The 13,667-nt window shown below is 36.0% G+C and overlaps 1 protein-coding gene across 4 annotated transcripts in view, besides 1 other annotated feature; it reads left to right on the top strand.

Annotated features, from left to right (window-relative positions):
- The window catches only part of SKAP2 (src kinase associated phosphoprotein 2), a 209,821-nt gene that overhangs the window by 122,369 nt on the left and 73,785 nt on the right, over window positions 1-13,667 (top strand). For all 4 annotated transcript variants that reach the window (XM_017012771.3, NM_003930.5, NM_001303468.2 and 1 more), the window contains 2 exons: window positions 2,258-2,335; window positions 3,344-3,427. In XM_017012771.3, coding sequence (XP_016868260.1) covers window positions 2,258-2,335; window positions 3,344-3,427 — 162 coding nt within the window. The remainder of the gene's footprint in view (window positions 1-2,257; window positions 2,336-3,343; window positions 3,428-13,667) is intronic.
- Window positions 7,342-7,664: a silencer, noted in NCBI's record as "fragment chr7:26774177-26774499 (GRCh37/hg19 assembly coordinates)". NCBI's record gives its function as "represses an EF-1alpha promoter that drives an FKBP-Casp9 reporter gene in an ReSE screen in HepG2 liver carcinoma cells {active_cell/tissue: HepG2}" and the evidence as "EXISTENCE:reporter gene assay evidence [ECO:0000049][PMID:32094911]".

Genomic DNA, 13,667 nt, shown 5'->3' with positions numbered 1-13,667 from the left:
TGAGACCAGATCATTCCACAATTATCCACTTTAGATTAGTGGTTCACCAGGACTTGTTTACAGAGATAAGATTTCTGTTTGTAATTTTTGTTTTATGTACAAAATCCTATAATAAATAATTTATACCTTTATATGTACCAAGTTTATTTTGAAAAAAACTGGATACATTTATTGAACAGCTATTAAAATATGTACACTGACTTTCCCTAAAATTTCATATACATTTCAAAATCAGGGCTCTATTTTAAATATGTTTTAATGATACTGTGTGGTGTTTACTGGGTGAAGTTGATCCACCAAGGAGCTGAAATTAGTGCTCTAATTTTAAGCTTTATTTCTTAAGAAAAAATATCCATGACTTTATCACTACTGTGATCCCCATGGTATTAAAAAAAAAAACTGGTAAAATTAGGTGATGAGTTTGTAAATAATAAACTTCCTATCAAACCCATTCTTTTTTTTAATTTTTAATTTTTGTGGGTACACAATAGGCAAATTTATGGGCATATTGTATGTTTTGATACAGGCATACAATGCATGATAATCACATCAGGATAAATGAGGTATCCATCACCTCAACCATTTATTCTTTCTCTGTTACAAAGAATCCAATTATATTTGTTTAGTTATTTCATTTTATTAATTTATTTATTTATTTATTTATTTATTTATTTATTTATTTAGAGACAGGGTCTCACTCTATTACCCAGGCTGGAGCGCAGTGGCACAATCATGGCTCACTGCAGCCTTGACCTCTTGGGGGATCCTCCCACCTCAGACCCCCTTCCCCCCACCTCTACCCTCCTCCTCCACTGGCTGGGACTGCAGGCGCGTATACCACTACACCCAGTTATTTTTAAATTTTTCGTAGAGATGGGGGTCTCACTGTGTTACCCAAGCTGGTGTCAAACTCCTGGGCTCAAGCGACCCTCCTTCCTTAGCCTCCCAAAGTGCTGGGATTGTAGGCATGAGCCATTGCACCCGGCCACTTAGTTATTTTTAAATGTACAATAAATTATTGTTGACTATAGTCACTCTGTTGTGCTATCAAATACTAGATCTTATTCATTCTAATTACATGTTTGTACTCAAACACATTTTCTATCCTAAGTTGTACTGAAACTATTTCCACTGGATGTATTCCATACAAACTTTCTTTTGATTGGTTGTTTTCACTTGCTAGAGTTCTAGTAAAATGCTGAGGATAACTATTATATTTCTTTTCTTTTCTGTTTTCGTTTTTTTCTCTTTTTTTTCCCAGGCTGGATTGCAATGGCGTGATCTTGGCTCACTGCAACCTCTGCCTCCTGGGTTCGAGTGATTCTCCTGCGTCAGCTCCCAAGTAGCTGGGATTACAGGCACCCGCCACCATGCCTGGCTAATTTCTTTTGTAGTTTTAGTAGAGACCAGGTTTCACTGTGTTGGCCAGGCTGGTCTCGAACTCCTGTCCTCAAGTGATCCACCCGCCTCGGCCTCCAAAAGTGCTGGGATTACAAGCGTGAGCCACTGCGCCCGGCAGATAACTATTATATTTCTAATGAAGTTTATAAAAATATTGAACACTTGTAAAATTGAGTAACCTATAATCCATGACCGTGAATATACAATTTCTAATCAACTTAACTTTTGCTTGATTTAAAAACTTTTTTTAGGGATCCAGTATTTGTTTATAATAGTTTTATCAGATCTGTCTAGTTTTAGACTCTTAAATGCCCTATAAAAACCTAAAGCATACTCACTCAGTGGAATGTCCATAACATTTCTCTGAATACAAACACAGAGAATATTTGCTGTGGGCTCAGAGAAACAAGTTTCAGCATTTGATTCGGAAAAGCATTTTATGTTTTACTTGGTAGGAATAGGGATTATGCAGGAAAGAGTCAATATGTATTGAAATTTTTAAAGAGTTAATTCAATATAAATATAACGAAGCTATGATTTATTTGAAATTCTTAACCTCTCTTTCAGGGATTTATTGCATTTATTTATAATAGTTTCTCAGTCCTGTATTTTGGGAGGCTATAATAACATATAGGAGTACAGAACTTTTTTTTTTTTTTTTTTTTTTTTACTTTTGAGACTTTTAGGAGGAATAGAGGGGATTAATCTAGGGAATGGATCTGAAACAAAGCTAATAGACTTAGATTTAAACAATTTCAGTAATTAAAAGCACACTGAATCTAATGAGATCTGGCACTTGTTTATTCTGAAATGGATTACCCACTGCTTTTTTTTTTCTCTCCCCAACTTCTCATAGGAGCCCAGTTTCCTCCAATTGCAGCACAAGACCTTCCTTTTGTTCTAAAGGCTGGCTACCTTGAAAAACGCAGAAAAGGTAAACTGAAGGTTCTAATGAAAAATGTAAAAATAATTTCATCCTTAGATAGAACATGTTTGTAGTATACATGTGGAGGCAGTATTCGTTTTAGGTGATTAAAGAGTTTAAAGATTGTAAGAAAATCTGGATGACATTATCCAAACCACAAAATATAGCTCTTAGCTTTAAATAATTTTTAATAAGAAAACATTAGGTTAGGTTTTTAGTTGTCAACCTTGGTTATTTGTAAATGATTCAGGAGCTGTTTCCTGCCTCTCAAAGGAAAGCTGCAGGCCATGACTGTATTCTCAAAGGTGGGATTTCTCACCAGTATCTCAATGGGCTGAGCAGCAGGTTCTCCTATGCCCAAACTGGCATGCACCATGGTTCAGATCAAGCCTGGAGTTTTGTCTGCCATTGTCTATTATTCATTTCAGTGTTCCTCTCCATTGGCTATGATAATTGGGAGTTGACCATATGGTCTCACTCTTTCAACACCAATATTTAATGGAAATGAAATATGGAGGTGGTTTTATAATATGAGAAATGAAAAGCAGACAGTCTTTTCATTACCATTCTGCTTATCTCTCTTGTAGTCCCTTTAGGCCTTTCTATTTATATTTCATTTTGCTTTTCTTAGCTTTCTTAGCTGAATTTTAAAACTGAAAGAGATAACAGAAATAATCTAGGTTAGCTCCTCCCCTTCTTTTTATAACAGATGAGAAAATGAGACCCAGATGGATCAATTATCTCAAGACTGTATAGTCAGATACCTTTTTGACTGTCCCTGTCAGAAAACTTTGTTAGCCATGCTGTTGATCCCATAAGTATGGCAGCCCCATAGCTACTTTACTTTATTCCCTTTAGCTGTGTTGGTTTGTTGTTGTTTGGTTTTTTGTCTCTTGGAAAAGAAGATACAAATTAGTCACACAATGTTAGAGCTCAGAGGAATCTTAGAAATCATATTAATTAACTTTTTCTTTTACAGTAAGGAAATGGCCTTACATTTTCCCCTCTTTATTGCAGATCACAGCTTTCTGGGATTTGAATGGCAGAAACGGTGGTGTGCTCTCAGTAAAACGGTATTCTATTATTATGGAAGTGATAAAGGTAATGTTGGTGTTCAATTATATCAACTACTATTGCAAAAGAATTTTTGGCCATCCCTTCCCCCTCTTTTGAGTACAGAGTAAACTGAAGACAAACTAATAATAACTGAGAATTATAACAATTATAATCTGACTAATTTATGATTCATTTCATTATTTGACAAATGCTCCAAATACCAGAATACCCTCAGAGCTAAAACAATTGTGTTGTATTGAATTAGAAAAGAGAGTAAAATAACTTTAATCTGTGTGGCCTTTCACCTTAGGGAATATTTATTATCCAGCCTACTGTTGTAGAATTTCTGGAAAAGTTAAGAACATAGGGTTGTGAGAGTTTCAATGGCAGAAAATAGATTATTTTTCTTAAATATTTTAAAATAAAATTAGATAAAATTAAATACGAACAGCACCTTTCTGAGCTCCCTTTACAGATTTAAGGAATAACAGCAAACGTGTACATAGAATTTACTATATACTGGGCACCGTTCTAAGCACTTTGTCTAAGTACGTTAGCTATGTTAACTTGTTTAGCTCACAACAACTCTGTAAGTACTATTATTAGCACCATTAATTTGACTTTTAGGAAAACTGAGAACAGAGAGGTTAAGTGACTTGTTCAAGGTCACAGAGTTGGAAAATGGCAGATCTAGGAATTTGTTTTTCCTTTGTTTTTAGAAACAGGGTCTTGTCTCGGTGCCTAGGCTGGAGAGCTGTGACTGTTCACAGGTGTAGTCATCACACCCTGCAGCCTCAAACTCCTGGGCTCAAGTGATCTTCCTGTCTCAGTCTCCCAGGTAGCTGGGATTACAGGTGCACACCGCTGTACCCAGCTCAAATTTGGGATTTTAACCTAGAGAATATGGTTAGAGTCCATGTTCTCAACCACTATTGTCACTACATTAATTTAGAAATAATAGGATACATTTTATAACTTCATTGTTAATTAATAAATCTCTCAGTTGTAGTTCACATAATTTTAAGATTGTTATTTGAACAAATAAAGCCACCAAATAATGAAATTTAAAGATTGTAAGCTTTCTGAGTTTTGTTTTATTCTGGGGAAAACAGGCTAGGAGTTGAATATTATAAAGTAAAGGTTGTATCAAAATAGATAATGTTCATTTCCAGAAAGGACACTTTAAGAAGAAAAAGGCAAAAGTATCACTGAATGTAAGCTTTCCTATGGAATTGTTATCAGTGTTGTTTGGAAATTTATGTTTTATTTGACATTATTTATAGTTTTTAGAGTTTTTTCCCCCATTCTAAAAACATACAGGTAAGATTGTCATATTTCAGATAAGTCTGAAATACTTACATAATGCTGGAAGTTGTTCTTACCTTTTGGCTAATGAGATTAACAAATTAATTAATTTAGTAGCTAGTTTGCATTCCATCACTAATTTACAGTATGTTCAGATGTAGTAATGGCATCAGTGAAGTGTAAACTGTAAACAGCTATAAACAAGCATCTTTCTTCTGCTAAGGGTCAGTAGTGAAGTAGGTCAGAAAATTTAGAGTCCAAGTTCAGTTACGATTATCACAGATCATAGAAATATAGTTTTGTATGATATTGTGAATTTAGATCGAGATACTACCTTCCACAAAATATCCTCTTTTTCACCAGACCAGGGGAGGGAGGTTTCAGATCCTTGTGACTTTGATTCAATTAGGCTTCTCATTTCTAATTTCTTTAAGAATCAATGAATACTAATGTCAGTGTTTCCTCCATTTCTAGTCCTGACTGGCATATAACAATGGTTAGGTCAAAGATTAGCAAGAGTTTCCCCAAAACCCAAAGCGTGTTAATATTTACTTCAAACACTAATATATTCAATGAAAACATTTTAGTTAGAGTTATTTAGATATTAGTTACATTCCTTTTTTTTTTTTTCTTTTTAGAGATGCGGGGGCCTCACTCTGTCACCCAAGCTGGAGTGCAGTGGTGCCATCATAGCTTACTGCAATCTTGAATTCCTGAGTTCATTTTTATTCTTATTTGATGAGACCTAATGGTAGTAACATTGTTTGTAATTTGCATTTTAACTACTTTGTGATCCATTTAGCCCTTTCTGTCATTTCTGTTACTGGAAGGGGGTCTTGATCCAGACCCCAGGAGAGGGTTCTTGGATCTCATGCAAGAAAGAATTTGAGGCCAATCCGTAGAGGGAAGTGAAAGCAAGTTTATTAAGAAAGTAAAGAAACAAAAGAATCACTACTCCATAGGCAAAGCAGAGCATAGGCTGCTCAGCTGCTTACACTTATTGTTACTTCTTGATTATATGCTAAACAGGCAGTGGATTATTCATGAGTTTTCCTGAACTGGGGTTGGCAATTCTCAGAACTGAGGGTTTCTCCCCCTTTTTAAGCCATATAGGGTAACTTCCTGATGTTGCCATGGCATTTGTAAACTATCATGGCACTGGTAGGAGTGTCTTTTAGCATGCTAATGCGTTATAATTAGCATATAATGAGCAGTGAGGAAAACCAAAGGTCATTTTCATCACCATCTTGATTTTGGTGGGTTTTGGCCAGTTGCTTTCCTGCATCCTTTTATCAGCAAGGTCTTTGTGATCTGTACCTTGTGCCAACCTCCTATCTCATCATGTGACTAAGAATGCCTAACCTCCTGGGAATGCAGCCCCCATAGGTCAAAGCCTTATTTTACTCAGCCCCTATTCAAGACGGAGTTGCTCTGGTTTAAAAGCCTCTGACACTTCCACTTTAAAAAAATTACCATTTTAGCATTCCTTTTTCATGTTGATGTCTGAAGATGTGGCTTGTGTTTCCTTAAATTTTTCCCTTTTACTTTGCAGCCTCCTGTTTCCAGTGAAATTTTAGATTTGTTTCTTGTGGTTCTTTTTTCTATTGGCGGTTTCATTCGAAATTTTTAGCCAGTTCCTCTCTTTTAAGGGACTCCAAAAAAAGATCTGTCTTTAGACAGTTTTTAATTACTTGTTTGGCATGATCCCGATTTCCTTCCTTTATATCTTTTTCTTACCAGGAAAATATGTCAAATAATTTTTTTCTTTTGTGAAATTAGATATGATTTTTTATAGCCTTGTTTACTGTATGTGTGAACCATTTACCTAATGGGAAGAACTCATATCTAGCTATATGAGAACTATAATCCTCCAACTAAGTAGGATTTAGATAAATGGATTATAGAGGCACAGAAGGAGTTGACACCACTTACTAGGTTAAACTGTGCTTTGTTACTGTTTGACAGATACATAGTTCACATTTTCTACCATATTGCGTGTGCCAAAAAACATATTGACCTATCAAGATAGGAGTGGCTTAGAAAGAGTAGTTCCAACCTGTTGGGTAAATAATGCACTTACCATTGTACCAATAAATATTGTCTGTATTTATTATTTATAGCCATTTGGGACCCTTAAGTAACAAATACATATAGTATGTATTTTAACACCTTATGAAATCTTATTCATCCTTTCATATCCTTCCTTTTCCTTTGATTGTCGTGAGTCTTATTCATCAAAATTCTTAGGTCCTAGATGTTCAGATGTCCTTCAAGTCATTCATTCATTCATTCACTTACTCATTCTTTTTCTAAATTTGATAAATATTTTTTCAGGCACTTGTTAGCTAGTAGGCACTGAGGATCCAAAGATCCTTAGAGGTGCTCACAGTTTGGGTTTTGTGGATATCAGTGAGAGAGGGAAGGATGCTGTGGGGTTGGAGGAGGGAGCTGGGCAGGTAAACTGACCATTTCAATGCAGTACAGTAAGTAATTTAAATAAGGTATCTTTGGATCACAAAGGAGGGAAACTAATTGCCTAGGGAAGTTAGGGAAGATGTCCTGGTGGAGAGAACACTTCATTGGGCCTGAAAGAATGAGTAGGAGTTTGTTGGTTGAATGCTATGGTGTGAATGTATGTGTACCTCCAAAATTCATATGTTGGAAATTAACTCCCAAGGATATTGTATTAAGAGCTGGGGCTTTTGGGAGGTGATTAAGGCATGAGGGCTTTACCCTCAAGAATGGGATATGTCTCTATAAAAAAGGCTAGAGAGAGCTGTGGAACCCCTCTCTTGCCTTTCCGCCATGTGACGGTACAGCATTCAACTCTTCTGGGGGATGCAGCAACAAGGTGGCATCTTGAAGCAGAGAGCAGCCCTCACTAGGCACTGACCCTGCTGGTGCCTTGATCTTGGACTTCCCAGCTCCCAGAACTGTGAGAAATAAATTTCTATTGTTTATAAATTTCCCAGTTTTGGGTATTATAGCAGCATAAACAGACTAAGACAGGGAAGAAGGGTAAAATGGGCTTTCCAGGTAAGGGAATAGCAGAGATTCTGAGTTGTGAAAGACTGTGGATGGGATCAAAAATGGAATGAAGGCTGGAGCTTAGAATGAGTGAGGGGAGGGAGCACGTAAGGCTAAATAAGTGGATTAGACCAGGTTGGTAAGAACCTTCTGAGAATAAGGGCCTTGCTAAAGATTTTATTTTGAATATGACCTTTAAGCAGAGGATTGTATGACCAGATTTGGTTTTTAGGAAGTAATTGTAATAGGATGATGGAGAATGGATTGGGATGGATAGAGTCTGGGTCAACAGGACCATTTAGCAGGACTTCGAAGTAGTCTAAACAAGAGAGGTCAACACAGGGCTGTTGAGAGGCAGAGCGAGGATTTAATGCAGATCTCTCTGCCTCCAAAGTTATGCTTTTTCTACAACTTGATGATTATTACCAACCCCTCCAAGGTGCCCATAAGTGGTGGACCATTTAGGAACCTGTTCTAAACTATTGTGTGTTTTTTCCCTTTTTTCTGTTTATCTTCTATATGATCTTGAATCAACATTATGATATGAACCTAGTCTCTCCCCATTTTTAAGGAGGGGATTGTCAGTTCTTAGTACCTCCTCTCAGGGCTTTTGCTGAAACCTGATTAAAGAATACACTAGCACCGTCTAGTAAATGGGAGCTACAAGTAGCCCTGATCTACAAAGTCATTCAAAGGTTATTTCTTACATCATATGGTTTTAATTTTTTCATTGTAATATCTTTTCAATATATAATAAAAGTCCGTAGAAAATTGGGCTTAATATGGAGAATTTAAGATAACAAAATTTCAGAACTTGGCAGAGAAATAAAATTTTTCATTGAAATTTACCTCCCTGCTCTCCCCTTCTCCACAACTTCACCGTTGATAGGAAAAAAAGAGGACATATATGTTCTCTTTGAAGTTTGAAAATTATAAAATATATTTTGATGTTGAAAAAGCATCATATTTCTCTTTTAATATTGTTTTGAATATGTTAAAGTGACAGTACTTATATTTGTATAATTAAAAGTTCTGTTGTTTTGTAACAACAACTTAATAGAAAGCCATAAAAGCTTACCTTTTTTCTTCTGATTCATTTGACAGAAACAAATTCTGTCATTTTATAATTGTAATTATATAATTTTATAATTATATCAAGATGATATATATTAAATGTGTAAGTGAATTCTGATATTTAAAAAATTTAAATTGCAATTCTGTTTCCATCTGGTATGTGAAGGATATCTTTATTCCTTAAGAAATAGGAACCATTAATTCTACTTTTATCAGAAATTATTACAATTTTATAGACTTTTGGGTCTTTGATATGAAAGTATTAACTTTAAAACTTATCACAATAAACTTTTTTTTTTTTTTGAGACGGGGTCTCGCTCTGTTGCCCAGGCCAGAGTGCAGTGGCATGATCTCAGCACACTGCAACCTCCGCCTCCCGGGTTCAAGCGATTCTTCTGCCTCAGCCTCCTGAGTAGCTGGGATTACAAACATTAAATTAAAGCTATGCCTTTATTTTCTGCCTTTATGGCTAAGAGACTCTCTAACAGTATATAGAAGTTAAAATGTACATCTGATGTTTAGTAGGATTTCATCAACATGCAGAAATAGTCAGGTACAAACCAAGTTTTACTAAGGGTCTGATGACCACGAATGTTGTTGGTTTGATATCTAGTCTCACTTCTACACAAAACCCCAGAGATATATTTCAAGTGGCTGATTTAGCATTGGCATCTGCAAGCTGTATAAACCAAAGGAGAATGTTCATATATCTTTAACTGAGGAGCTGGAACATCTTGCTAGTCAGTTTGATAAAATTTAGTGGCAAGGTCTAGTATTGATGGGCATATTTTTCTTTTCCCTACTAATGAGTACTAATACTTGTGGAAATAACGTAAGTTATTCACTGAAGGGAAAAGGCCTTCTTAAATATAAGTAGTAGATATTGCTGAACACATTTCATATTTTTGTTTGCTAGCCATTTGTGCCAAGTTAGTGTTCTTGGTATAAGCATCGGAAACCAACTTTGTTTATGCAGAAAGGGAAATTATTAGGAAAATATCAGCTCTCAGAATTGCTAAGAATGCTACACACAGGCTCAGCAAGCAAGCAAGAACTAAGGTAGGTAAGGGGGCTGGATCTTGAGCATAATCCATGAAAAATCTTATTGGGACACACTGCTGGCTTGGGCCTTGCCAAGCCAGGACATGTGATGTTGCCACTGTGCACTGCCATCAATCAGTGAGTGCCATTGCCACCAGAATGGATTCTGAACCCTCTCTTGATCCTTTTGTTACTTACTGGAGATTTAGGTTCCAGTCTGGAGCATCCACTTTGATTAAGTTGGAACAGGGAAAATCCATCTCTCTCCAGCTTCTGTGATGGAAAACTAAGCCCTATCCCTGACAATCTTGGAATTAAAATAGGAAAGATGCATGGATGCTGGGGAGCCCCAAATAATAAATGTCCATAACTTGTAGGGATGCTAAAGGATTTGGAATTATTTGGTTGCAATATTTATGCTGTATTTAAAATGGTATGAGAGTGGTTGGTGTTTTAAGCATATTTTTCTGAGAGCCAATGAAGAAGAGAAAAAACAAGTATATTTGCCAGAAAAATAGAAGGTCTGTTTAGATTTTGGTAGGTGGCATTGGAGTGTAGGGGGTAACGTCGGGGCAGTTGGTGAAGGTAAGGGCAAAATAAAAAATGGTGCCCAGTTTTCTGGTTTGGGAGCTTGAATTAATGGAGGTGCCATTTATTGAGATGGGGGATACAACAAGAAATATCACAGTTGTTGGCATCACAAGTGTTGGGAGTGGGGATAAGATGATCTCCATTGTGGGCACTTTCTATTCAATGAGCCTATAGGACATTTGAGAAATGAAACATATTTAGTGAGCAGATGAAGATTTGGATAAACAGTTTTGAAAATGAACTAAAAGTAGAGAATCATGAGTCACAAGTATATTGATAGGAATTTAATTCTTGGAATTAGATGAGATTGCCCAGGGAGAGTGTAATGTAAGAAGAGAGCAAGACTTAGAACAACGCATCATAGCTTTTTAAGAGATAGGCAGAGGTAGAGGAACCCATAAAGAAAGCTGAGAAAGTTTGACCTAAGTTGTAGGACGAAATGCAAAATAACATTTATCTTCTCTACCGTGATTTTGTATATTTCACATTGTATTGAGGACAGTGGTTGTAGTGTGTATCAAAATCACCTGGGGTGCTTGCTAAAAATTTGGTTTCCTAGACTCACCCACAGAGATTCCTATATAGCAAGTGCAGAGTGGTAGCCAATTCTGTGTTAACAGGCGTCCAAGTTGATTCTAACATAGGTGATTCTTAAAATATACTTTGAGAAACACCTTTTTAGAAAACAGTGTGAAATGGCTGAAAAAGCAAGGCTTTAGAACCAGACTTTCCTAGGGTCCTGGCTTTTACTGTTTACTATTTGTGTGACCGTGAGCAAATTGGTTAAAGTTTGTTTTCCCATCAGTGCTGGGAATATAATATGTCTCCTCTATTGCTTAGAATTATTACCAGGTGTATATGAGATATGTTCTATTAAGTTCTTGACATGTAGAAGCTCAGTAAATGTGAGTTGTCTTTTTGACAGCTTAAAAAACCCCCAGAACACAGCTGTAAACCTAAAAGCCAGTGAAAAAGTAGAAGGAAATTGCTCTTATTAGCCTTATGCATTTTGTTTTGTAGGAAATCAGAGCCAACTGCTTTTTACCTTGAACCTGCTGAATTAGGATTGTGTAAAATTAAGTTACTGATATAATAGATTTCATTATCTAGTTTTTCCTGGCAGCCTTCAGTTCTGTAGACATTACATTCAAACAGCATGATAGAGGTTAGGTTAAAGTGTGAAACAGAAGCTGAGAGAAATGTAATAGAGGAACAAACACCTCAAAAATTCTGAAGGCATCAATGTGTTATAAAAACTAATACTCAAAATGATACTATGTTAAGAAAAAAATGTTATGTTTAAAAGATTTGTTTGAGAAGTTAGGCAAGTATATATTTTAGAAAGCTTTCCATCACAATGATTAACATTTTTAAAAGTTTTGGCACTTAAAGGAATAAGCTTTTGCTATTTGTGAAGTTCACCTAGATAAAATATTAGTCTTTCACAGTGCTGGGTAAATGGACTTTATAGCTTTATTTCCTATTTGATTGGCATTTTACTATTTTTGATAATTTTGTTAACAGGTATCCTTGAAACTATCCCAAAAAGCAATTGTGGAACTAATCTATATGTAAATTCTTATGACTTACCACATAATGGTGAAGTTTCTCTCTCCAGAAGAGAAACTAATGTGAAAGGAGGAGAACAGTGTTGTCTTATAGCCATGTCTGCCCATTTCACGTCTTGAACTTCCTGTCCTGTATTGGCTAATTGGAGATATGGCTACTTCATGGTTATGGTTCTGCAAAAGCTATTAGAAAGAGTTGTGAGTTTCCTCTGTTCAACCTTTCTGGGCCCATATCCCTACCCGACTTGGATGTTTATATAATTGTTTATCCTCAAATACAAACAATCAGTTGGATAGGTCTAGATATTAGTTTCTTTTTATTATTTTTACTTGGTTAAACAACAGCACATTTTGTTCTGCAAAGTTAGGTCTTTCTTTGATGGAATGAAGTTTTCTTTTGCTATATTATGTCTTTGGTTATTGGCATTTATTTATTACTCTTCTTCCAGAAAACCCATTTTTCTTATGTTGTATTTTTGTCAGCCCTCCATATTTATCATACTCCCTTTTGTCCCTTCCCCATCCCCTTATTCTTATTTTCTATCTGCTGAGTGAGCTTTTCAAGGTATATCTGATCTGATTTTCCACAATGTTAGTTCTACTTTTTATCACTTCTAATACATCATTTGTTTTGCTGCTGCATTTTCCACTTCCTTATACAGCATATTTGTTCCTTATTTTGCCAGTTTCATTTTAATTTCTACTTGTCTCAGCCTTTCCTCTTTTTATTTTATATTACATTGTTTCATCTTTCATCTCTTTCAGAATCTGTTTACTTTTATAAAATATGCAAAGCAGTTGGCTAAAGTTTACCTTCATTTCTCCTACTTCGCTTGTGCTTTCTACTTCTCAAGTGCTATGTTATGTTTCTGTTTTACATAATATTTTTATGGCATCTGTATTTGCTGTTCCTCTTTTCTTATCCTCGAACAAGTACATGTCTATGAAATCTGAGATGCTTACCTATAAATTGGATTTGTGGCTTCTCTCTGGTTCATCTCAGTAGAGGCTGATACTGTCCTCCTCTTGGACTGTATCAGAAGTTCTGATACATAGCCCCATAGCATATTTCTAGGGGGTTTGGCTAAAATGAATCTGCTAGTCTGAGTTGGGGTTGCCTAATTTTGCTGCCTAATTGTCTTATTTCTAGATTATTAGATAATCTGGCCCAGAAAGATCTGTTCCCCTCAGCTCTTCCAAACTAAATCTTTATAGTGCTGATTTTATATCTCCAGGTGTAGACTCCCACTCCTCATGCATTTCCACCTGCATTCAAGTTACATTGATGAGAATTTTAGACCGAAATTGGAGGTAGAAGGCATAGGTTTTAGGTCAGATGGACCTGGTGAGTGGAGCGATTGAACCCTTGCGCAGCAAGGGAGCAGCTTTCCTCTAAATCTGGTCCCTGAAATTTCTCTTTCTTCTGGAGAGTTTAAGGAACTCTCTCAAAATTGTCCAATATGGCTTTGATATTTTGCCTCACATTACTTCCACTTTTCGTAGTGAACATTAAGTTCCTTTTGCAATTTAGTAGATCATTGGGAAGGTGGCGCGAAAGATCTGATAAGGTGTTCTAGCTTTTATCTCGGCAAACCTATAATGCTGCGTGCTGGTTTTAAGTGCTTGGTATCAATTTGTCAAATGAGTGAGTGAATGATTTAGTCTTTTTTTGAGAATTT

The sequence above is a fragment of the Homo sapiens genome, chromosome 7 (assembly GCF_000001405.40).
Source record: "Homo sapiens chromosome 7, GRCh38.p14 Primary Assembly".
Classification (NCBI taxonomy): domain Eukaryota; kingdom Metazoa; phylum Chordata; class Mammalia; order Primates; family Hominidae; genus Homo; species Homo sapiens.
This window is presented reverse-complemented; position numbering and strand designations above follow the sequence as displayed.